The following is a 24,699-nucleotide window of genomic DNA, read 5'->3' on the forward strand; positions in this document are numbered from 1 at the left end:
CAGGGAGGGAGGGAAAGAAAGAGAAAGAAAAGAAAGAGAAAGAAGAGAGAAAAGGAAGGAAGGAGGGAAGGAGAAAAAAAGAAACAGAAAAGGAAAGAAGAGAGAAGAAAAGAAATCGAGGAAGAATAGACTTTATAGCTGTTTGTAGGATAAACATGAGTGTTTTCTTAACAAATGTTCAAACAATAAACATGCATGCAATGTGAATTTGGTTTAGGTAGACATTTGTCTCCTCAAACATAATTGTGTATGATTAGATTTTTTTCAGAGAAATCACCAGAGGAGTTTGATTTACTTTTTTTCACTTTCAAGCATAAGAAGTTGGCTTTTCATGAGCCTGATGGTTTAACCTTCAGCTCTGCTGCAGTCAGTAGGAACTGTGGGAACCAGTTGCAGCGGGAAAATATGAATCAGAAAAAGATTTTGTTCTCAATTTGTCATCTTTATGGGCTTACTCTGTATGCAAAAACAAAATTACCATTATTCATCCATGTGTGCAATCATTCTGTCCATCACTGTTCTCCCTAAATATATGAACTCTTCTCAACCCTAATTTTTAAAACATTAGCAATAAATCCAGAAACCTTAAAGACAAAGACCAGTTGTTTTTATGTACAAATTCAAAATGTTTACATGACAAAAGAATTGGCATAAACAAAGTTTAAAAATGCAAGTTAAGAAAAATGTAATCTATATGTCAAACTGAAAAATGTGTGAAAGATAAGACAAGGAGTTCATAAAGGGTGAAATTTAAACTTTAAAGCAATCTTTTGGCCAGGTGCAATGGCTCATACCTGTAATACCAGCACTTTGAGAGGCTGCAGTGGAAGGATTGCTTGAAGCTAGGAGTTCAAGCCTGGGTAACGTAGCAAGACCCTTCATCTCTAAAAAAAAATTTATTTTTTAATTGGCAAGGCATGGGAGTGTGTGCGTGTAGTCCCAGCTACTTGGGAGGCTGAGGTAGGAAGATCCCTTGAGCCCAGGAGTTATGAGCTCAGGTTGCAGTGAGCTGTGATGGTACCACTGCACTTCAGCCTGGGCAGCAGAGTAAGAGTCTGTCTCAAAAAAAAAAAAAAAAAAAAAAAAAAAAAGTGATCTTTTATGTATACTAGGTAAATACTAAAAAAGATGGATAGTGTAAAGTGTTTAAGTGGATGTGGAAAGATGGATGATGTTCCCATATATTGCTGACGAGAACAAACTAATCCAGTCTTTCAGGAGAGCAATTTGGCAACATGGAACTAAAGCCTCAAAGTGACCCATCTGATCTAGAAATAAATTTTAATGTAATCACCAGGCAGATTTATGAAAATATATTTACAAGGATGTTCATCCAAGTATTGTCTATAATAATAAAATGTTAGAAACCACCTATATGCTGGTTAAATTCCTTGTTATAATCATATAATGAAATATGTTGCCTTTCCAAATAAAGTAGCTGTAGCTACTATAATGAAAATGTATTCAGAATGCTATAAAGCAATATGTAAACTGATCTCCTTTTTCAGTATATAAAGATAGATGTGTCAATATGTTTGTACAGTCATTTTGAAATTGGAGGATAATACTCACCAAAATGTTACGTGGTTTCCTATAGGTGATGGGCTGATGGGTAATTTTCATACTCATCTGTTTACTCTTACTTGTTTTCTAATTTTTTACAATAAGAATGTTTTATATTCAGAAAAAAATACAGCATTGTTTCCATTTTGAAGGAAGTAAGTATCAGCAGCTTTCTTGCCTGTGGGAAAGTCATTAGTTTTCCCATTCCTCTGATGTTCTATCTTATCTTCTCTTTCCTGATCTGCTCTGTTTCTAAGTCCCTTTAGTATGTACATTGTTCCTTAATTTCATTTTTCTGCTAATTTGTGTTTCATTTTAGTTTCACATTTTTCTCATGCAGGGGGTGGCTTCACTTTGCGTCTCTCCCCATTGTCACAGAGGCCAACTGAATCTAAGCCGTATTTCTTTTTTTTTGAGACAGAGTCTCGCTCTGTCGCCCAGGCTAGAGTGCAATGTCACGATCTCAGCTCACTGCAACCTCTGCTTCCTGGGTTCAAGCGATTCTCCTGCCTCAGCCTCCTGAGTAGCTGGGACTGCAGGCGCATGCCACCACACCCGGCTAATTTTTTGTATTTTTAGTAGAGACAGGGTTTCACCATGTTAGCCAGGATAGTCTCGATCTCCTCACCTTGTGATCTGCCTGCCTCAGCCTCCCAAAGTGCTGGGATTACAGGCGTGAGCCACCACACCCAGCTGACTGAGCTGTATTTCTTACCCAGATCTACACAGCATCCTAGTATCTGGCCTCCCTAGGGAGAGCTGCCAAATATCTTCCTGAAAACCAAATCTGACTCCAACATCCTGTGCATTTTTGTTGGTTTTACTAACTCTTAGGATTGTATATGAACCCTTTTTGTTGGCATGAAAAGCCCTTCACTGTCGGGCCCTCTTGTTTTCTCTCCCCTCTGTCACAGCCACTCTCAACATCCTTGCATTCCTGGGATAAATCTTGCTCTCATGGGCCTTACCTTTGCACGATCTCTCTTCTTTGTGTGCTTCTGTCCCTTCTAATAACTGGGCAACTCCTATTCATTCTCTAACACCCAGTTTAAATATTGCCCCCTGGGCAGCCTCTCCTGAGTCCTCTAAGGTAGAGTCATAGGGCCTTCTCTTAGTTATTAGGTTGGTGCAAAAGAAAGTAATGGCAAAAACGCAAGTACTCTTGCACCAACCTGAAACATTCTTAGTGTATTATATTAAAATATTTCTGGTTCTTTACTGGTCTCCCCTGCCCTCCTGCCCCTACTAAGATAAGGAGCTAAAGACCAGGCTCCCTTCTAGTGATCCTATATGCTAGTTCATGAAGACCCTCAAGTGTTCATTGCACATATGTCAAATACTTTTCCCTCTAGGACCTCTGCTTCTCACTGGAACAATATTTTGTTATTTTTAATCATTTGATTATCTGAGCTTGCAAAACTGAACAAGAATTCTGATCCTTGTATGTTCTTCCCTTCCTTAGGCTTCAGATGATGAGTCTTACATCAGTGATGTGAGTGATAATATATCTGAAGACAACACCAGTGTTGCAGACAATATTTCTCGGCAAAGTATGCATCATTTGAGCTTCCAGGTTGTTCTATCTACATGCCAAATTGCAACACGAAGACTTAATGAACAGGCATTCCCCCTCCCACGCCACCCCCACCCCTGCTAATTGTTCTTTTGGCAGCTGATTGTTCAATACATTCTATTTTGTATGATCTCTTGAGGTAAATGGTTGAAAAAATCTGTTAGGTAAATAGTTAAGAGAAAACGTTTTTCCTCTTTCTCAAACCAACAGCTTGAGTCCTTCTTATTAAATGTATTTAATTTTTTAAAACTTAGCCTGTCTTGTCTTGAATGATATTTGAGTGTATCTAATGCCTTATTTATAAAACTATACACTGTTGTTTTCTGCATTTATTAGCAACCTTGCATTGAAAGAATTCCATTTACTTTTGAAAAGATATAATGAAGACTCATGAAAGGTCTCAAAATCAGATTTATTTGAAAGTTATTTCCCTTCTTGATTTTGTGAAATCAGAACAGCAAAGTGTCCTTCACTGTGACTCTCCTTCTTCCAGTCCTGAATGGGGAGCTTACAGGAGGGGCCTTCCGAAATGGGCGTCGAGCATGCCTGCCAGCTCCTTGTCCTGACACCAGTAACATTAACCTGTGGAATATCTTGAGGAACAACATTGGTAAAGACCTGTCTAAAGTCTCTATGCCTGTGGAGCTAAACGAGCCGCTCAACACCCTGCAGCACCTCTGTGAGGAAATGGAATACAGCGAGCTCCTGGACAAGGCTTCGGAAACTGATGATCCATATGAGCGCATGGTAATAAATAACTAACAGAGCAGCGCCCCTCAGGGATTTGCCAACCCTAGACCTGGGCTAAGCCAGAATTCATTATGATATATTTGGCATTTGCATAATATTCTTACTGCATAGTAAAAGAGGAATTGATCTGTTTGCATAAATCCGGCAAGGCCAAAACCTCCCAGATACCAACACAGGAAGACACACTTTTTGTGCCTTATCCTTGGTCTAGAGTGTTTCTAAAGTTAAGGTGTAAAGGTCTCATACTCCTTAGAGGTTGAAGGCACACCTTGCCTCACTTTATCAGTTTTTCCTGAATGTCAGGATAGCCCATCTGTTCAGGAACTTAGGTCTGAGAAAATAACTTCTGTTTATACTTCACCCTTTATCCCATATGGCTGTGGGAAACATGCCATGCCCTCTGAAAAGCACCCGCAACCACAATCCTCATGCACATGAGGCTAAGATCATGCCTGTGGCAGAACCAATAAGCTGGGTTTCAGAACCTTTGAACTCTGTGATACTCATGACGTTGGATGGAAGGGTGAAAAATGCTTCACCTCAGTGGCCTGCTGGTTTCTGTGCGAGTGGTTTTACCTAATCTTACCTATTTTTTTCCCCATGAGTTGATAAAAATTCTGTACAGACAATAGAAAATGCAACTGTCATCAAATCAACACCCATCCACATGAGGTGTGTAAAATCTAGAGGGATGAGGAACAAACAGACCCAGCAGTCGTCTCTCCTATATTATTCCCTTTTCTTCAATGTTTTAACAGGTTCTCGTTGCCGCATTTGCAGTTTCAGGATACTGCTCCACCTATTTCAGAGCAGGAAGTAAGCCATTCAACCCAGTCCTTGGGGAGACTTATGAATGCATTAGAGAAGACAAGGGATTCCGCTTTTTCTCAGAACAGGTAAGCGCCACTGGACTCAGTGAGGTTTCTATATAGGTAAGAGGACAGTTCGGTGATGAAAGCACCATTTCGATAACAATCTGTTGGGATGGGTTATGATACCAGTTGTGAATTCGAAGTATCTGAGACAGGTCTTAATCAGTTTAGAAAGTTTATTTTGCCAAGGTTAAGGACACACCCATGACACAGCCTCAGGAGGTCCTGACAAAATGTGTCCAAGGTGTTCTGGACACAGGTTGGGTTTATACATTTTAGGGAGATATGCACCATCAATCAATATATGTAAGATGTACATTGATTCTGTCCAGAAAGGTGGGACAACTTGGAAATGGAGACTTCCAGGTCATAGGTAGATAAGAAAGGTTGCATTCTTTTGGGTCTCTGATCAGCCTTTCACTGAATACACAATTTACATGTGAGAGGGTGGTAGAGAGAGAGTCACTTATGCCTCAGTCTCACTCTGTGAATCTGCATTTTTACATAGACAGTAGGGCAGAGGAAGTAATCAGATATGCATCTCTCTCAGGTGAGCAGAAGGATGACTTTGAGTTCTGTCAATCCTTTGTCCCATACCTGTGAAGATAAGCTATCAATGTACATTGCCAGGTTGAAATTCAACAGAACTGTTTTAGGGTAAAGATCTTGAGGCCCACAAAGAATTTCCTTGTGGGCAAATTGTGAGGGAGAGAGGTAGCCTTTTTAAAAAAAAAAAAAAATCTTTGTAGCTATCTTTTTTAGGAATAAAATGGGAGGCAGGTGGTCCTGAGATTTATTTTCTTTTCACACAGTTAAGAAAACTAACACAAGAACAGAAAACCAAACACCGCATGTTCTCACTCATAAGTGGGAGTTGAACAATGAGAACACATGCACACAGGGAGGAGAACATCACACACTGGGGCCTGTTGGGGGGTGGCGAGCAAGAGGAGGGATAGCATTAGGAGAAATACCTAATGTAGGTGATGGGTTGATTGGTGCAGCAAACCACCATGGCACGTGTATACCTGTGTAACAAACCTGCACATTCTGCACATGTATCCCAGAACTTAAAGTATAATTAAAGAAAGGAAGGAAGGAAGAAAGAAAGGAAGGAAGGAAGGACGAATTCACTTCACTTATGGGCATTATTTCCCCTCTAAATTGTATAAGTTCTCAGTGTTTTTAAAGCATGAAGTCTTACAGATTTACTTATACATTTTGAGAATAATTCAGTAAGAGAAATGGATGACCATGTGGAAGTCTTAACACTGATACTGCCTTTTTTTTGTTTTTAATTACCAGGTTAGCCATCATCCACCCATTTCTGCCTGTCACTGTGAATCAAAGAATTTTGTGTTTTGGCAAGGTTTGTATTTCAATTATAATTTAAAATCAAATGTATGAGCCTATGAAAAAATATCTGGCTTCCAAAGGGACACTGTATTCAGTTTAGATTTCTACCTTTGGAACTCAGCAAATGTTAGTAATTGGTGCAGAGCTCATTTTGAGAAATCAAAATTCCTGGTTTCAACATGAAACAGTTTCAGCTAGGAGATGAGATTGCTTATCTTGGAAACAATGCTGTATGGAATAGCAGAGCTCCATGCGGACTGTGCCGGTGGAGAGCCACCACCTTATCTCATGTTCCTTATTGTCTGCATCTGTAACATGGAGGTTCCATCTGCTGCCTTCTTGGTTCTTCGGGGTGTGCAAAGACATTTTAATTCTGAAGGAAGGCTCTATGACACATCATCAATGGTCATAATCTAAATAGATATGCAAACATTACAGTAATTCCTGGCCTTTAACTCACTGGGGCTCCAGAGTTTGGATTGAAGTCTCTACTGAGTTAAGTCAGAATGTTACAAGCTTGCCTAATACAAAAAAGTTTCTAAACTCCTTTACAAAGAAAAGAATATTTATGTAAATGTGAACATTAAGTGTAAATAGTTCCTTCGTGTTTGGAAGGGTGCTTCATTACTCACAGAATGACTTCTCATGAGCATTTTCTTAACCTGAAAATACATAAAAATGATAGAACACTGTAGCTGTACTTTATTACAAAAAGATGACAGATCATTTCTTGGTCATCACCAAGAATCAGGCATCTTGTGGAGATGGCACGAAGTTCCCATAGTTCATCAAAATGGAACCAGGTGGTTATCACAAATGCACAAATAAATCTAAGTTTCCATACGTAAAACATAAAGCCATCGTGTGAGGTAAAGTGCTGGGCCCTGGTCTATATCTTAACAACCAGTATAAAAACATTCATTAAGTTAATCCCACTCTTTCATAAATCTTATTTTATAAATTTTATTTTATCTGTATTTGGAGATTTTTTTTAACTGTAATCCCAAATTATATGTCTTTGATATGGGGGGAAATGTATATATAAATTAATTGTATTGCTATACTCCAATTATTTTTAGTGTACATCTTATGCTTGATATATTTGTTAACTATTTTTACCACTTAGTTAAAACTTATAACAACCTTTATTGCTGTCTGGACATTAAAGCACAGTAGAGTCTATGTTTGTATGTAAAATGTGAATACACACACACAGACACACACACACACACACACACACACCGCACACACACTGTTCCAGGCTTCTCCCAGCTCTGTTAGTTGAAAACAAATAAAGAGCATATGTTATAGAGAAACATAGATAGTGGGGGTTTTTTTTAGTTTTGTTTGTTTGTTTGTTTGTTTATTTTTTGGTTCACAGTTAATATTTTCACCTTGGGCCATTTGCAGGCACTTGTCATACTAAATCAGCAATATAGAATCAGTTGTCATTCCAAAGTGTTTCATAAAGTGTAATACAAAAGTTAGTTTTTATAGAAGAGGTGATTAGATATGGGGTATGTATTTCTTGTCCTCTCCCTATGTCATTTAGATATCAGATGGAAAAACAAGTTCTGGGGGAAGTCGATGGAAATCCTGCCTGTTGGAACACTGAATGTCATGCTTCCAAAGTAGGTGACTCACACCTCCCTTTTGGCCTCTTGTCTGCTTTTCTAAATCATAAATGGGTATTTTAAACTCTAGAAGATGGTAAGGGTTTCTTTCTCTTTATACCCAAACTTCTGTTACCTTTGCCAAAGTTTTGAGAATAGACTCCCACAAAAACAAATGAGAACTTAAGCATATGTAGCAAAGCTTCCTGTTTATTTCTTCACATCCTCCATTCTTCAGTCAACACCACCAGGTACCTCCCATGGCCCAGTCATCATGCTAGTTTGATTGTATATAAAAGGTTCTCCTGTTTAGCCATTTCTTTGCTATACAATTCAGTTTCACTTTTGAGTTCATCTTAGATCCAGGGAGTATTTTATCAAAGAAGAGTGATGAAATCCTTTTATGGTTGTGTTCTAGAGGATACTGCCTCTAAATATTTTGAAATTAATTGGAATTTTTACTGAGGCCAAGGACTTGATTGTTTCTTCGGTTTTACCTATTTGAATGACAGAATTTCCAGATGAACTGGATATGGAAGAAGGTGAAGAGAGGGAGGTATTCCTAGGACCACAAAATAAACTTTGAATATTTGAACATGTAGGCCAGGCACGGTGGCTCACGCCTGTAATTCCAGCACTTTGGGAGGCTGAGGCGGGCGGATCACAAGGTCAGGAGATTGAGACCATCCTGGCTAACAAGGTGAAACCCCATCTCTACTAAAAATACAAAAAATTAGCTGGGTGTGGTGGCGGGCGCCTATAATCCCAGCTACTCGGGAGGCTGAGGCAGGAGAATTGTTTGAACCTGGGAGGCGGAGATTGCAGTGAGCCGAGATTGTGCCACTGCACTCCAGCCTGGGTGACAGAGCAAGACTCCATCTCAAAAAAGAAAAAAAAAAATGTATAAGGAAGAGAGTTTTCCTAGGTATATATGGTGCCTACATCATACCAATTCATAAACTTTGCAGAAACTTAGAAGCATCTTTTTTATGTTGATGTAACATTTCATTTGAAAATATATGTAACGTACAAACTTAAATGTGATTTGAAGCTATATCATTTCATTTCTTAGCAGAAATTCTGTAACCTTGTTCCCCAGAATTTGTAATAGATTTGTGCCATCTTAGTATGCTCTTCAGTCTTTTCCCGAAGAATTATTCACATCTGAGGTCTTAAACCTGGAGTACAAAACAGTGTTCCCAGAGTGATCTTTCTTCAGTGCACACTCTGTGGTGCCTCCCTCCTACCTGGAATCCTGCGGTGGCCCATTGCCTGCAGGGTAAATCTAGACTCCTTGGTACGTCCCTGCAGGCCTTCCCGGCTCTGCCTCATCACACCTTTCCTGCCTTGCGTCCTGCCACCCGCACTCACCTGGAGCACAGCATTCACAGGCCTGGATGCCTTGTGCCCTTCTGACCTTTGTGGCTCTGTGGATGCTTTTCCCCAGCCCATAGTGCCCTCTTATCTGCCATCTGTGCTTACACGAAACCCAGCCTCTTCTAAGGTGTCTTCCTTGACACTCATCCCACGTTCCAGGTAGATTGAAGGACTAAAAACTCTTCCTTCTGTGTTCCGATGATATGCATATTTTAAGTATTTGTTTGCATATCCATCTACCCTCCCATACTTCTGTCTCCAGAAAAGCAGGAACCAGGCCCTATTCCACTTTGTAACTTTAGCACCTGGCCCATAGAAAGCACTTAAATGTTCCTTAAGTGAATTAACCACATCGTAAATACTTAATGACCACAGAGAGAATTTCAAGACACAAATGGGAGGAGAATGAGGGAAAAGGAAGCTTTGGCCAAAGAATATTCTCATTAGCAGAAACAGTTATATGTGTTTGTGACCTTGGTTGTTTTTCATCAGTGTTACATTCTTCACTAGGTATGGAGATTACTATGTGTGGAATAAAGTCACCACTTGCATACACAACATCCTCAGTGGGAGAAGATGGATAGAACATTATGGAGAAGTAACCATCAGAAATACCAAAAGCAGTGTTTGCATTTGCAAACTCACATTTGTCAAGGTAAATACTATCATACAACAGTAAAGGAAAATGAGTATAAAATGCTTCTTAAAGAAGAAATAGAATAATCACCTTAAATAGCAGCAAGTGAATCTGTCCTGTATCATTGGTCCTTACGGACATTTTAGATAAGAAAGCAGAACAAACTGATAGAGTTTCTCAAGGCATGCAAGTTTCTGAACATATGGAGGTCAAAAAAGGCATCATCTAAAACAGAAAAAAAACACATGTCTTTTTAAAGAATTTTCTTTTGAAGTAGCCAGTCAGTTGTTCACTAAGTAAAATTCCAGAAAACACTTCTTGACTATAAATCTTCTGGTTTATATTTCTGTTTCTCTTCCTGCTTGATATGTGTTCAAGTGATCTGAATTTCGGGAACTCATTATAATGTTGTCATTTTCTGAAGACACTTGATGTAGTCATGTAGATGATCACCACCAGTCAGTACATGCTTATCCAACCCTGCCACTGTTATAATTCAAATAAGTTCAACAGGAAAAATTAGCCTCATTAACAAGAAAATATGTTGGGATAGAAACGCCCAAAAAGCACCATTTTCCCTCAGTTTCTCTGGTCTGAAGTGGAACATTCAGTATCACTGCCGTGTTTGTTTGGATGTGCTACAGAATTCAACATAGTATAGAAACCCCACCCAGCTACCATACCTGTTCAATTCATGATCCCATTCTAATATGGTAAACAGGTAACATATTGGAGTCTTAAGACTCTAATATTTTCTTTTCTCAGTTAAATCCTTTTAAGCCATATTGGAAGGTTGTATTTATTTTAATTGAGTGTCTTTATTTTAGCCCAAAATGTTTTCACTACCTTTTTTCTTAGAGACTCGTAAGGTACCTAGAACTGAAGAGCCAAGATCACTATGTGCTCTGGCTGGGTGATGATGTAAATATGTACATTTGGCTTTGTAGGCTATGAGAAGCTGCAGTGCAGTCCTGTCTCTAACACTTGCAGAGCCTGTATAATTAACTAAAATATGTAAATCAAGTCTGTAAGCTATAAAATAGAATATGCTCTATTTCTTTGCCTTGACAAATACACTTTTTATAACAAAGCCTGTGAGGCCAGGTTGGACCCTTCAGAACTCTGTGCTGTAACCCTGGCAATGTAGGACAGCCAGTCCTGGCCCACGGCCTTCCCTACTTTCTTCCCACCTCTGGCTCTGTTTTGACTGCAAGGGGCCTCATACACACATATACAGGCAGGCCAGCCCACACATCTAAGCTCTGTTCACACCCCCACAAACAACCACCCTTGGCCACTCTTCAGACCTAAAGGTGCACACGCTGGTGGGTGGTCTGCCCTTGGGTGCATGAATCCAAGGAAAAGGGCCTTGCCAGCTGTGGAATAACCTTGGAGCTACTTGGACAAGGAATTCTAGGGTCCTGTATACTTGGGGCCTGATCTGGAAGGGGAATCATGGGGTAGGCAAACTCCCATAGACTTCTTATCCCTTGGGAAGGAGTATGGCTGGAAGGGCCACTTGAGGGCCCTCCTCATAAAATTTGGCCATTTATAGATACTATGAAAATTATTTCACAAACAATTTCTGCAGCATGGCCAATTGAAATTTATTAAAATCCATGAGCAAGAGGAAAATTCAAAACAAGAGGAAAAAAAATTGCTAGCTTAGAAATTAATATTAGGTTCTTGGGATAGAAGCTGAGCCTTCTCTGTGATATACTACCATGTTATGCGTGGAATAGAGACCATCCCTTTCTTGAAAGTTAAGCTAACTCTTAGAAAGCCAGCCCTCCATATAAAACGTTTTGAGATTTCTGTATTTCTGAAAATGGTTTGAATAAGGGACTTCAAGGCTAAGAAATTTTTCTATATGGAAAATACAGGGAATGATGTTATTAAAGCCATCAAATGTCACAATTGGGGTTTGGTTTTTCCAGGTGAATTATTGGAATTCTAACATGAATGAAGTCCAGGGGGTGGTGATAGATCAGGAGGGGAAGGCGGTGTACCGGCTGTTTGGAAAGTGGCATGAAGGACTCTACTGTGGTGTGGCCCCCTCTGCAAAGTGCATTTGGAGACCAGGTGAGAGTGGCCTGAGTGTTCTGCCAACAGGAGGGCACTATGGACAACAGAAGGGAAGAGAACATCAGGTCATCTTATGCAACTCACATTATGTTTCCTTTAAGAGTGAGATTAAAAGCGTAGATGCTTATGGCAATTATAGTTACATTCATACTTAACATAGAAGTTATACATAAGCCCCAATATTTGATATTTCATAATAAAGAATGTAGGCCAAATCTCTGACAGGCAGTCAGAGATTGGGCTTCATGAAAAATTGCTCAAAGTGTAATGCCTACATTTGAAAAGCTAGGTATATTTATTAAAGACTTTAGATAATTGAAGTATACAAACTTAAAACCTTACTCATGTTATTTATTCTCTGCTTTAATAAAACAAAGACTACAAACATTTGTAATCCACAAATTCAATAACTCACCAGAATAAGTAATCTTTTCACTTGAGCCTCAAGAGACAGCAATATGTTGACATTTAATAAAAGACATCAAAAGAGTTCTGATAACACATTAGCTTATGATTGAATATCAAGTATAAATGGAACAAGTATCCACATGACATTTATTGTCACTGGAATTTTGTCAGTTAATCCCTAACTAAAATTAGTTGTTAGTTTCCTAAGAGACATCAATGAGTATTTAAATTTCCCGCTAGTAGAGTGGCTAGCTTATTCATTCCGCAACTATTTATTGAGTGCTGGCTGTACATCAGGCTTTATTCCAGGAGCTCGGGATACGTCAATGAGCAAGACATACAAAGATCCTGCCTTCAAGTTTAGTTAAAAAGTGGCAAAAAATATTAATTTAGGTCTGCATATTTTTCTTTTCTAAAAGGAAGCAAACAAGTGTTTCTGGTGTACTCTTAATGTTCATAGTTAATTGCCATAGTATTTAGTTAACCAATTGAATATTCAAGAGAAATATTATGGAGTAGTTTAGCTAATGAAGACTACTATATGTGCAGTTTTGTTTGAAAGACAGGATTGTATTAAATATATGAATCTGTCAATTCTGATCATCAACACAAAGTTTCCTACCTAGGAATACCACCAATTTAATTCACTTGAAAAAATCTATAATCTTGTGTTTATGACTACAAATTTGGTGTTAGTGTAGGTACTAAGTACTAGGGTAAGTCAGCTTCTTCCAGTTCCATAAACCTTCTGCCTCTCACAGTGGTTCATTGGCCTCTTTCCAGGTTCCATGCCAACAAACTATGAGCTGTACTATGGCTTCACAAGGTTTGCTATTGAGCTCAATGAGTTAGATCCAGTACTAAAAGATCTCCTTCCACCAACAGACGCCCGGTTCCGGCCAGATCAAAGGTGAGGATGGCAGTGGTATTTAATATGCAGACTATGGCTGGGTGCAGTAGCTCATGCCTATAATCCCAGCACTTTAGAAGGCTGAGGAGGGAAGATCACTTGAGGTCAGGAATTCAAGACCAGCCTGGACAATATAGTGAGACTCTATATCTCTAAAAAAAAAGAATTAAAAATTAGCTGGGTGTGGTGGGGCATGCCTAAAGTCCCAGCTACTAGGGAGGCTGACGTGGGAGGATCGCTCGAGCCTAGGATGTTGAGGCCACAGTGAGCTATGATTGTACCATTGTACTCCAGCCAGGGCAACAGAGAGAGACCCTGGCAAAAAAAAAAAAAAAAGGCAGACTATTATGGCTTGGGGCTTTAGAGGTCATTGTGACTTATTTTTACTACCATCATGTATTTTTATTCAATCCTTTCTCCATTCCCTTATTCACTCAGCAATATTTGAGTTTTCTATGCCAGGAAAAGCAGTATTCATAGAATGATCATAACAGATTATCTCAGCACATAGTTCCCCACAGAAGATAAGATAACAGAGATATTTTTTAACAAAGTTTCTCCCTCCCCCTAAAATTTACCAAAGGTCTGTAAATTTGTGAACTCTTTCTTAAATATATAATCAGTCCTCACCCAGTGTTTCTGACCTTTTTACTTCTATAACTCTGTAACATGGAGTATCTTTTAAACTGAAGAATAATAGGATAAGTTACAGGGGAACTCAGAAATGCTTTGAGTGCAAGTCTGCAATTTGCCCAATGTGGTTTTGATCCCACAGAGTATGAGATATACTCAAAATACAGTACCTTTAATACCTTCTGATTCTTAGTTTTTTATTCTTATGTAGCTCTGAACTCATGATGTCCATTCCTATGGAATTCATTTTACTTTTCCCAAAAATTCTATATGCCATACAAATTCCACTCAAGATCAATTTTCTGTTTCCCATGTATTTGTGGCTTTATCTGCCATCTGCCAAAATGCTCTCAGTTTTGAATGTTCCACTATTTAATTCTCTTCTATTTTGCCCTCTCTCTCTAGAACATGTTGTCTTGCTATTTGACATTCAAATTTATTAATAAACTTCCTGTACAATGTATAGCATATTATATTCCTGTTCTTTGCTCTCATTTTGAAATGTAAGCATTTGTAAGTCACCATTCAGTCTGCTTTTTCCTTCTCAATTCTATTTCAGTGTTCCTTTTCTGAATTTCATTTACTATTCATTTCACATTCTGTGGCCTTTTGTAATTTTCCCCATTACCTTTTCTTTTCTCATCAGTTTTGCCCTCTCCAGTAAAACAGGAAAGCTCCTTCCCTCTCAGCCTGTTCTCAAAATAGACGGAGAATAGCCAGTTACCATCCTCCATTCTATGGCCTTTTAGCAAAAGCTTTCTGATAATATAGAAAAGGAACATGGCTATGACTTCACGCTCTTCTCACCCTGGACTCTGCAGTTGTCCTGAAAATCTCAAGTTATAGAACCCTAGACAGCATAGAAAAGTCTTCAAGGCCAAACCACCCACCTTTCACTGATATTGCTGATTATAATAATTCAGTTCATGTACATAGAAAATATGTAAATCCTGGGAGGCAGAGGTTGCAGTGAGCTGAGATCACACCACTGCACTCCAGCCTGGCGACAGAGCAAGACTCCGTCCGTTACTGTGCGGTATTTTATGTTCATAGCAATTAGAAAACAATTTTGTGCAAATGAGGTTTTTTTTCCCCCAGAAAAGAGGATAATATGTTAAAATATCAACTGCTTTCTGCTTAGATTTTTGGAAGAAGGAAATTTAGAAGCTGCAGCATCAGAGAAGCAAAGAGTAGAGGAACTCCAGAGATCTCGGAGACGATATATGGAAGAAAACAATCTTGAACATATACCAAAATTTTTTAAGTAAGTCAGTTAACTCCCATAGCAAGTTCATGTTTTGCAAATGGTTGCCACAGGCCATGAGAAACTCCAGTTAAATGAAAATAAAATGGGTAAATGGATTTTGGTATCTTTGCTTTTGGCAGTGAAAATATTGAATCGATTTTGCACTTATGAAAAGTTAGTAACTATAAAAAGAAATTTTTTCTACAGCTCTTCTCTTTTCATGGGCAGCAGAAAAGAGTGAGCATCCTGCCCAGAAGGCTCTTTGTCCTTCAGCTGCACTCTTTAGAATGGTGGAAACTGGTTCCCACTCCCTTAGCCAGGGACTGAACCAGACCCCACTGCCCACAAGATCATCCTGGCTTTTATTAGGATTTCATTTTATTTCTATCACACAAAGCTTGTGTGTGTTTAGATTTGGTCTCTCTGTGGTATGATAGTAGGTGATTATTACAGGATTATTTGCAGGATTATATATACATCACACAGATTAATCTGAGGTTTCCAAATGCATCTGTTGCCCTCCAGAGCCAGGACAAAAAGCTCAGGGTAACCTTATCTCCTTTAGACTTGTCCTGTCATTACTGCCCTGGGGTAGAAATGCAGCCTTGCCCTTCAGATGTCTAAAATGTGCTCCTTGGACATGGGCCCAGTAGGGGCTCTTAGAGCTACTGATATTGCATACTTTTAGTGAAGGAGAAAGGATTCTTGTGGGTCTGGGACCTGAAGCTCTTAGTTACAGTATTTGTATATGCTTTATTGGGGGCTATTTACTTTTTACCCCTGCCAGGAGGTAATTTGTTCCTGCCCTGAGTTCCTCTCCCCCTGGCCCTACCTACTTCCATTTCACACATTTAACAACAAAAATGACTTCACTTCCAGTCAAAAATAGTCACATCATCAGTAGCTAGCAGATAAGATACTAACTGGCTTACAAACACTGCTTATATGTCCATGTCTAATCTATAGGAGAGGGTCCTATTTAAGGTTACCTTGATGTGATTCATGACTAATGTTGATGTTTATATTTTCACAGAAAAGTTATTGATGCCAATCAAAGAGAAGCCTGGGTTTCTAACGACACCTACTGGGAGCTTCGAAAGGACCCTGGGTTTAGCAAAGTAGACAGCCCTGTTCTTTGGTAGACTGGGAATGTAGAGCTAGCCAACATATCACATTCTGAATGAATAAATAACTATGCACAATTATGTTTCTTATAGCTATGTGTGGTTTCTGGGTCAACTGAAAACCTACCATTTGCTTTTCTATTCATCTTTATAATGGACTTTCAGAAGTGCATTAGACAAGGCCCCTAACCACTTTGGGATCCTTTCTGTTTTGCTGCAACCATATTCCTTAAAAAAAAAAAAAAAAAAAAAAAAAAAATCCACACCGTCCTTGGAAAGCAGAATAAAAGGAGCAGAATATAAAATCCAAAGTCTGACCAGTTTGTAAAGAAAAACAAATGGTAACTGGTGCTTAAAGCTGATCAAGAAAGTTAACAACAACATAGAAACCACACGATTGTTCCACTGTCTGGAAGCACCATCCCCTATCGCAGGACTCCTGGGCCACAAGCAGTCGGTCAGTGCAGACTTCAAGTGTGTCTGTTTGATGTGGTGTGATTGTGCTGGCCTTGTCGAAAAAGATGTGATGCTTCTCAGAACCTGTTCCATCTGTATGCCATTGTTCATGCCTTAAGAAATGCAAAGATGTACAATAAATCATTTTTAAAATGTGTGCTCATAGGTTTATGTGAAGAACAGATTTTTTGAATCATGGCATGATTCACTTTCTCAATCAGGACAATTATGAGACTAACTTAAATGGGTTTTTTAAAAGTGAACAACACGTGCTTTACTCTGATAAGTCAGTTACCATATGGTATGTCTGAAGGGAAAGAAGGAAAAGACGTGCTAAGTAGATCTCTGTATTTACGTGGCTCGTTAATTTCCTGTCCTGCGTCCAGATAATAAACCATCCCTCTTCCACCTAACCTCACAGTGTGCCCTATTATTTGGAAAAATCTGTCTTTGATTTGGACATTTGGTCATCAGTGTTAAAACCTTAAAAGGAAATAACAAAAAGCATATGGAATTCCTGTGTGGGCTTAGTAGTACTATAAATGTAATTGTTTTTGAGTGAAGCACCATGTAATCCATGTCTCAATCCCATGCCCGCTCCACTGACACTAGTCGAATTCCACTGAGAACAGAAGCAAGAATAATAGTAGTTTATTTGCATTGTTTAAATGAATTCTATGCAAAATCATATTTCAAATTTTCATCAAGTGATTCCATATGGTACATGGCTACATATTAAGCATTTACCTTGCTATTGGCAGAGATATGAAACTTAAGCTAAGGAATGTATCCATCCCAAAGCAGGAAAGCAGAAGTGTGTTTTGCATACTTCAGGATTTGTTTTTCCTCCACTAATATACAGAGGCTTTTGCAGAAAACTTGCATCAGTATTCCTGTTTCTGCACGTAGGTGACTATATAAATGCCTGTATGTTTTTTTTAAAATATCTCCTCAGAGATTTTCCTAGGGAATTATAAAATTACATATATTTTATTGTTAGTTAGATGTTTATTCTTGGATTCTTACCATTAGAATTTAAGTGTTATTTAAAACTCTGATACAGTTACAGACACTTTACATTTTATTATGAGGTGTTGATTTTAGTGGTATTTCTCCTCAGCAAAGCATTCCTAATAATGGCTAATACACCATCAAATGAAAAACTGCTGATGAGAGTGTAAGAGAAAGCGCTAACGTTTCCACTAGATGGCGCAATATTTTATTTATCCAAAACTCCTCCCTTGCATCTGAGTTTTTATGTTATGTGTACAGTCTGCATTAGCTTAGAATGGAATTTCATTCTCAGGTAAATTTTCGAATCCATCACCAGATCTAAGCATTCTGCTTCAACAATACCCTCTCTATTCCTCTCATTCCCATTTTAAATCCATAGGTGGCTTGCCCTGCGGCAGTAAAATCTTCCCCTTGATATTGATTCTTTTTCTGCTCATTCATCTTGATGTTCTTTTTCTGCATCCTGAGATACATGTCGTTAATTTTAATAAGAATCCTATTGACTTCCTCACGGGAGTCTGTTCTCCTATGGTTGATAAAGCTTTAAATACTATTTAAAGTGGTTCTGGTCTGTACTTACTAGCACTTCCCTGAACAGTCTCAAAATAGCCTAAACATAAGAAAACAATCCTGCAAAGTAAAGGTTTTTACAAGCAGAGATGAAGGAAAGGGAGCAGCAGCTGACCATCAGATGTGGTATCAGGTAGCTGGAAGAGGATCCAGGACCCATCAGGGAAGCAACGACTGTACTTAGCAATTTGGGTTATAATTACAAAAAAGAAAAAATAGTAGAAAGGATCTTTACCAGACAGTAAGGTCATGGTACAAATCAGGTGAGTGAATGTTGGTCAGAGGTAGCCTGACACTCTGATGAGGACTTCAAGATGAGAATGAGAAAAATGTCTATTAAAATCACTACATTTGATAATATCTCAGATTTAGAATCTCTTTTGGGATTCAGATAGTCTGATTATTCCAATTCAAGTGTTCAGTTAAGTTTTAGTTACTATTCCTATAATACCCAATTCACTAATATCATATCTCCTGTGGAATATTCATTGGTGCGATGGCCTCATCCCCTTTTTTACTTTTTATTGACATGGTGGTTATAAAATGAAGAGACTTACTCTATTGGAATTTTCATCTACGTAGTATTTGGGCTGTCAAGACTAAATAGCAAAAGGGTAGAATATTAGATCATTCTCTTAATAAGACCTGATTTATTCCTTAGGATGTTATACAAACCTTTTTATTTCAGGCCTACTTTCTTGTTTTTTCCTAAAAGGATCTAGGATAGAGGAGAACATAATATGCCTGTATACTTCTCCCATGGTTTATTCATAAGCTGCTTCATCTCATTGGAGATGGTCATTGAGGAGAGCAGTAATAAGTGACGATGATTCTGAGGACTTGGCTAGACTGAGCGGATCAATGGCACACACCAGCACTGGTAGAGGCTGACCAGAAGCTCATCGATTCCATATGCTGTCACCCAGGGTGCAGATTTACTCTCTTTTGCTGTTATTTTATTGTTTTTCTTAAATTAAGCCATTGTTTTTCATGGATTATTTTTAAAATACCTACCCCATAATTTTCAGGCAATTGTAAAAATAAACCTTATTTAAGATAACTTTTAATGGTACATATCAACTATATGTGGGGAAAAAATGCAATTTTCTGGGCAAGAGAAACCAAAGGATTTTCAATATATGAGATGCCAGGTTGTCAATTTTCTAAACCTTTTCCTCTAGATTATTCTGGCCCTAGGCCTTTCAGCAACCCCACTAATCAATTATTAGATCCTGCCCCAAGGAGCAGTGGCTTGGGGGCTGGATTTAGGGAGGAAAACCTGATTAAACTGTTTTGCTTAGTACTGGTTACAGCTGTAGCTGGAGAAGAGTTTATAATCATAAAGTACATTTTTGTTATTACCTTGTGGATTTTAATTATCCATCTTGTCTAATCTTGTTCTCTGTCATCCTAGATAATGAGGTGTTTGTGGGAGCAGAGCTCTGCACACACCAGGGGATGTAATAAATGTTTGCACTTGGCCCAGTATATTATGAATGTGGCACAGTAAATAAAGTTTGTGTACAAAATACTAGTTTATTTCTATGGGAGCCATTATGTTCAGGATATATAAAATGTATCTAATTAAACAATTTTGAATCTATTTTGTGCTCTAGAAATGTTCTTTTGGGGAAAGATGGAAAGAAATGTATAAATGGAGTTAAGATTAAAGTATTTGGGGTTTTTTTTCCCCAAAAGCTTCCCAGTTGTTTAGAAATAATACTATCCAAAGTAGGATTCGGTCCTGTAAGTCCTAACTGAATTTCTTTTGTAAAACTGATACGTTTAAACTGTACATTGCATAATCATTCTGTTAAACTAAACCTTTGTTTAATACATAATTGTAAGAGCATATATTTGTTATTGAATTGAAAGACTTTTTTTGTAGCTTTTGCTTTTAAAGAAGATGGCAAATTATCTAAGAAAGACTTAGCTTTATTACGTCCAAAATGAGATCTAAAGAAGGAGGTCTTTAAAAATTGTTGTGATGGACCAACATGTCCAACATCTTAAGCAAATGAAGCTTCATGATTAAGGCAGCTTACAGATAAGTGGAAAAGAACTTACCTGTCATATGCATCCTTTTGTTTTCCAAAACAACATCTGATTTAGTTCATTTTCTCCAGCCTTGCTCCTAACATAGTGAAAGGCATAGATACACATGTATGTTCTTTTACACTGTGTCATTGTTTGTAAAATATACAGTATTTATGTACAGTTTCAGAGACATTCAATATTGAAAACCACTTCAGTTAGCCTCCTAGTGAATACTATTAATTTTTCATGGATTACATATTACCATATGACCCCATAAATACATTTTATTAGTTACTTTGGTATCTTCAAATTGGTAAGAAAAAAACATAAAACAAAAATGTTCTTATTTTCTGCAATTTTTTTTTCTAGCCATTCCTTCCTCCCAAATAGAAGTGAGGGCAATTGTAGAGAGAGGAATATTAAGTTTTCATAAAGCAAAGTATCATCTTATTTGTGTTCCACCTGTTTCTTCTAACACTTAATTCATAAAGTGAGCAATTGAACTTCTTAATACTGTTAGAGAATATGCTAGAACTATTACTTCTTTTATCTTAGACACCCACTTTCCCTTAATTCTCATCTATTTAGTTTTTTAATAAAATTGTTGCTAGAATTTTTTTGTCTTTTCAAGTTCTTTTTTTGTTAATTTTATTGATATTGCTGTACTTTTTTTTTTTTTTTTGAGACAGAGTCTTGAGTGCTCTGTCACCCAGGCTGGAGCGCAATGGCACAATCTCGGCTCACTGCAGCCTCCGCCTCCCAGGTTCAAGGGATTCTTGTGCCTCAGCCTCCCGAGTAGCTGGGTTTACAGGCGTGTGCCACCCACCTAGCTAATTTTTGTATTTTAGTTAGAGACGGGGGTTTTGCCATGTTGGCCAGGCTGGTCTCGAACTCCTGACCTCAAGTGTTTCACCCGCCTCAGCCCCCCAAAGTGCTGGGATTACAGGTGTGAGCAACCGCGCCTGGACTCAAGTTCTTTTTAAAGCTTGATTAAGGTATAACCGACATATAATACACTTCGCATATTTGAACAGTACTTGATACAGTTTGATGTATGTATATACCCTTGACATAATCAAAATAGTGAACATATCTATCATCCCCAAAAGTTTCCCCTGCCCCTTTGTAATCCTTCCCCATCCTCTATCCTGAGGCAACCATTGATCTGCTTTTATTATTTTTAAAAGTTAGCGTATTTTCTTATATGTATTGCATATGGGATTTTTCTAGAAGGCCACGTGCATATGCACCCTCCCCTTCCATTACCCCAGTATCCGCCATCAAGTAGTAACATGTTGTAACAGAAAGAATCCCATTAAGTCCTAGTTCTGGTAGCCCGGTACAAATTTTAGATTTTCCCCCAAAAATGAAAAAAAATTATTTAAAAAATTTAGATTTGAAATGCTTAGAAAACAATCATTTATTTTTTTATGTCAAAATGTCCAAGTAAATTAATGGATTAATTTCCATGCTTCTGGTGATGTAACACCACTTGGTGGTGGCGCTGAGGAAACCCTGGGAAGTGTTTTTCTCTTCTGTGTAATGAAAGACTCACTGACAAAGCCGTCGGTATCCAGAATGACTGCTCTTGAAATGATATTTTGATGATGATGATCAGGGAAGTAGCCTATGCTGATTTATTTATCATCCCCCCACCCCAACCCCACTTTTGTGTCACAAACATTTGAAACACCCAGTGCTCAAGAATGCTGCTTTTCCAATTCTGCTAATATCCTCTCTCCCCATCTGGAAACAAAGTTACTAAACCTAGTTTTGAAAAAGCAATGGAAATGAAAGTGTCCAGTGAACTTACTGGCAGTTGTGCAAGTTGAAAGCTTATTCCTTACATCCTGAGCCTAAAAGCCTTATTCCTTATATCCGGAGCCTAAAAGTTTGCTCAAAAGTAGAAAACTTTCCAGACAAGATCACATACAAAATGGTTAACATGAAATGCTAATGAAGAAACAAGGCAAGAATGAATACAAGAGAAATGGAATCTGGGGAAAAAAGTAGGTTCTCTAACTGGGGCAGGGATCTTGCTTCTTGGGGGCATATGGTTGGATCCCAGGTGGGCCACGAAAATCATCTTGGATATTTGTTTACAGGCTGATTCCTGAGTTTCCCTCCAAAGATTCTGAGTCCACAGATCTAGGGTGTGGACCGAGAATCCTCATTGTAACAAGCACCCTCTGCCCCCGGGACATTTTAAGGTAGATGGAGAACTAAGGTGAGAGTGTGCCAGCTAAATACTCTTTCCTTTGTCCCTGTGCCTCAGTCTTTTTTGTTTGTTTTTTTTCATGTGACACTCAGTAGGAAAGTCTAGTTCAAGAACCGGAAACTGAGCCGGGCATGGTGGTGCGCACCTGTAGTCCCAGCTACTCAGGAGGCTGAGGCAGGAGGATGGCTTGAGCCTGACGCCCATGCCGCTGTGAGCTATGATTGCACCACTGCCCTGAGCCTGGACGACAGAGCAAGTTCCTGTCTTAAAAAAAAAAGTAATAAAAAAGACATTTAAAAAAAAATTAGAGCTCAGTGACCTGTGACTCACTTTGCCACTTTGTCATTTTCTTGACTTCTGTCCCAACGCCAGCCCTGTAATATGGAGATAAAGAGTGGGGAGGACAGAACTCTGAAACCTAAAAGGCAAGATTTTTGCTAAACCGGAGAACGTAAAAATACATTCCTAGAGGCAATCTAACCAGCCAGATAACCAGAAGTTTACTCTTCAAAGCCAAGAATCAGTACCCCCACCTCACCTTCCATTCTCTCTTAGGCTTTGTCTATGTCTCTAAGGGGAGTTTTTCAGTTGACTGATGAGGTCCTGACTGGTAGGGAAAGCCTGCAGGGAAATCCTGTGGCAAAGCACACTCTTGATCACCTACTTAACAAGAAGGTCTAGCAGGACATTCTTGATCCAGGTCAGCTTCTTCCCTGAAAATAATACATATTTTTAATTTCTGTTTGAAAAAACTCCACTGTGAAATTACTCTGCTTATATTAGAAGGTATGAAGACAGTAGTTATGTACTGTTCGTTTGCATACGGTCATTTTGAGATAGAAAAATTAAATTTTTTTAGGAAAAGAATTTCAAGCAACTTTCTACGAAAATACAGCTTGTGGTTAAATTTCCTAATGAAAGAGGAATTATTCACTGAAAAATTTGTCTAATCTGTGCCACCTCAAAATAAGAATTGTGCCTCTTCAATGAATGTTGTATATGAGAATGTTACATTTGTAACAGCACAGGAAACTCAATAAATTATAAATGAATTACATAAAGAGATTTTTTTGTGTACAGTATGTCCTGATGACTTTTCTACATTACTAATTTTACAAAAATTACTAAATTTGCCAAATATTTTTATCTGTTTGAAGCAAGAGACTTCACATAGGATATAAAGCTTGAGTACTTATATCTGACTATATTTCCAGGTCTTCTTCATGTGTTTTCAAATCGAATACTAAAACACAGATTCTTTTCCTGAATTTTGAACTGAATTTTCCTGAATATTAAAAGACTTAAGGCTGGGCACTGTGGCTCATGCCTGTAATCCCTGCACTTCAGGAGGCCAAGGCGGTGGATCACCTGAGGTCAGGAGTTTGAGACCAGCCTGGCCAACACGGCGAAACCCCATCTACTAAAAATGCAAAAATTAGCTGGGTGTGGTGGCACATGCCTGTAATCCCAGCTACTCGGGAGGCTGAGGCAGGAGAATCACTTGAACCCAGGAGGCAGAGTTTGCAGTGAGCCGAGATCACACCACCGCACTCCAGGTTGGGAGACAGAGCAAGACTCCATCTCAAAAAATAGTAATAATAATAATAAATAAACAAAAAAAGACTTAGAGTTGCCTTCAGTTTCCCATGTTTCTAGATTATGGGAGAAAAGCTGTAGTTCATGAAGTCTGCAGGAAACTCACAATCACTTAGGTGAGAGTTTCTTCCATCTTGGTCTCTTGGGAAAGTTCTAGGGATTCATTTACATTCATTCAATAATTCTCCCTTGGGAAGAGAGATTTCATGGGGGCTATTTTCTATCTGTCAATGGTGAAAACACTTTCAATAAAACAATGATGATGTGTTTAGTTTGTAATCTGTACACGTATTATAAGTAGATGATTTATCAGTCTTAATCTCCAAGTCTCCAATTTCTTCAAAAGAAGTAGAGGAAGAAATATTTTCAGAGTGTCAAAACAACATACCAACTGTTTGGTTAACTGGAATCCCAAAATCTGTTTTTTGTAAAACAAACATTGGTAGTCAACCTATTTCAATCCTGCTGGAATGTGATAAACTCACATGCTCTGGGGCCTTTCTACAGCCTGGCCTCACTGTGGTGCATTTATGGGCTGGTACCCAGTCTATCCTGACACTGTCCAATCACAGAAATGTGAGGACCTTGTAATATCACGTCCTAGGGATAAGTTCCTAGGGCTCTATTGAGGAGAAACTTTGATGTGGTTGGCAAGAACACA

At 38.5% G+C, this 24,699-nt stretch overlaps 1 protein-coding gene across 50 annotated transcripts in view; it reads left to right on the top strand.

Moving 5' to 3' along the window:
- Positions 1–23,499, top strand: part of OSBPL6 (oxysterol binding protein like 6) — a 209,120-nt gene extending 185,621 nt beyond the window's left edge. For 49 of the 50 annotated variants that reach the window (XM_047443146.1, XM_047443150.1, XM_047443130.1 and 46 more), the window contains 10 exons: positions 3,026–3,113; positions 3,630–3,883; positions 4,645–4,782; positions 6,064–6,127; positions 7,667–7,745; positions 9,615–9,759; positions 11,679–11,823; positions 13,018–13,144; positions 14,919–15,041; positions 16,057–23,499. In XM_047443146.1, the coding sequence (XP_047299102.1) occupies positions 3,026–3,113; positions 3,630–3,883; positions 4,645–4,782; positions 6,064–6,127; positions 7,667–7,745; positions 9,615–9,759; positions 11,679–11,823; positions 13,018–13,144; positions 14,919–15,041; positions 16,057–16,165 (1,272 nt within the window). In that variant the 3' untranslated portion in view covers positions 16,166–23,499. Of the gene's footprint in view, positions 1–3,025; positions 3,386–3,629; positions 3,884–4,644; positions 4,783–6,063; positions 6,128–7,666; positions 7,746–9,614; positions 9,760–11,678; positions 11,824–13,017; positions 13,145–14,918; positions 15,042–16,056 lie in introns of those variants that run through there. The other variant, XM_047443169.1, reaches the window with a different exon arrangement.
- The last annotated feature ends 1,200 nt before the right edge of the window (positions 23,500–24,699 follow it).

The sequence above is a fragment of the Homo sapiens genome, chromosome 2 (assembly GCF_000001405.40).
Source record: "Homo sapiens chromosome 2, GRCh38.p14 Primary Assembly".
Taxonomy (NCBI): Eukaryota; Metazoa; Chordata; class Mammalia; order Primates; family Hominidae; genus Homo; species Homo sapiens.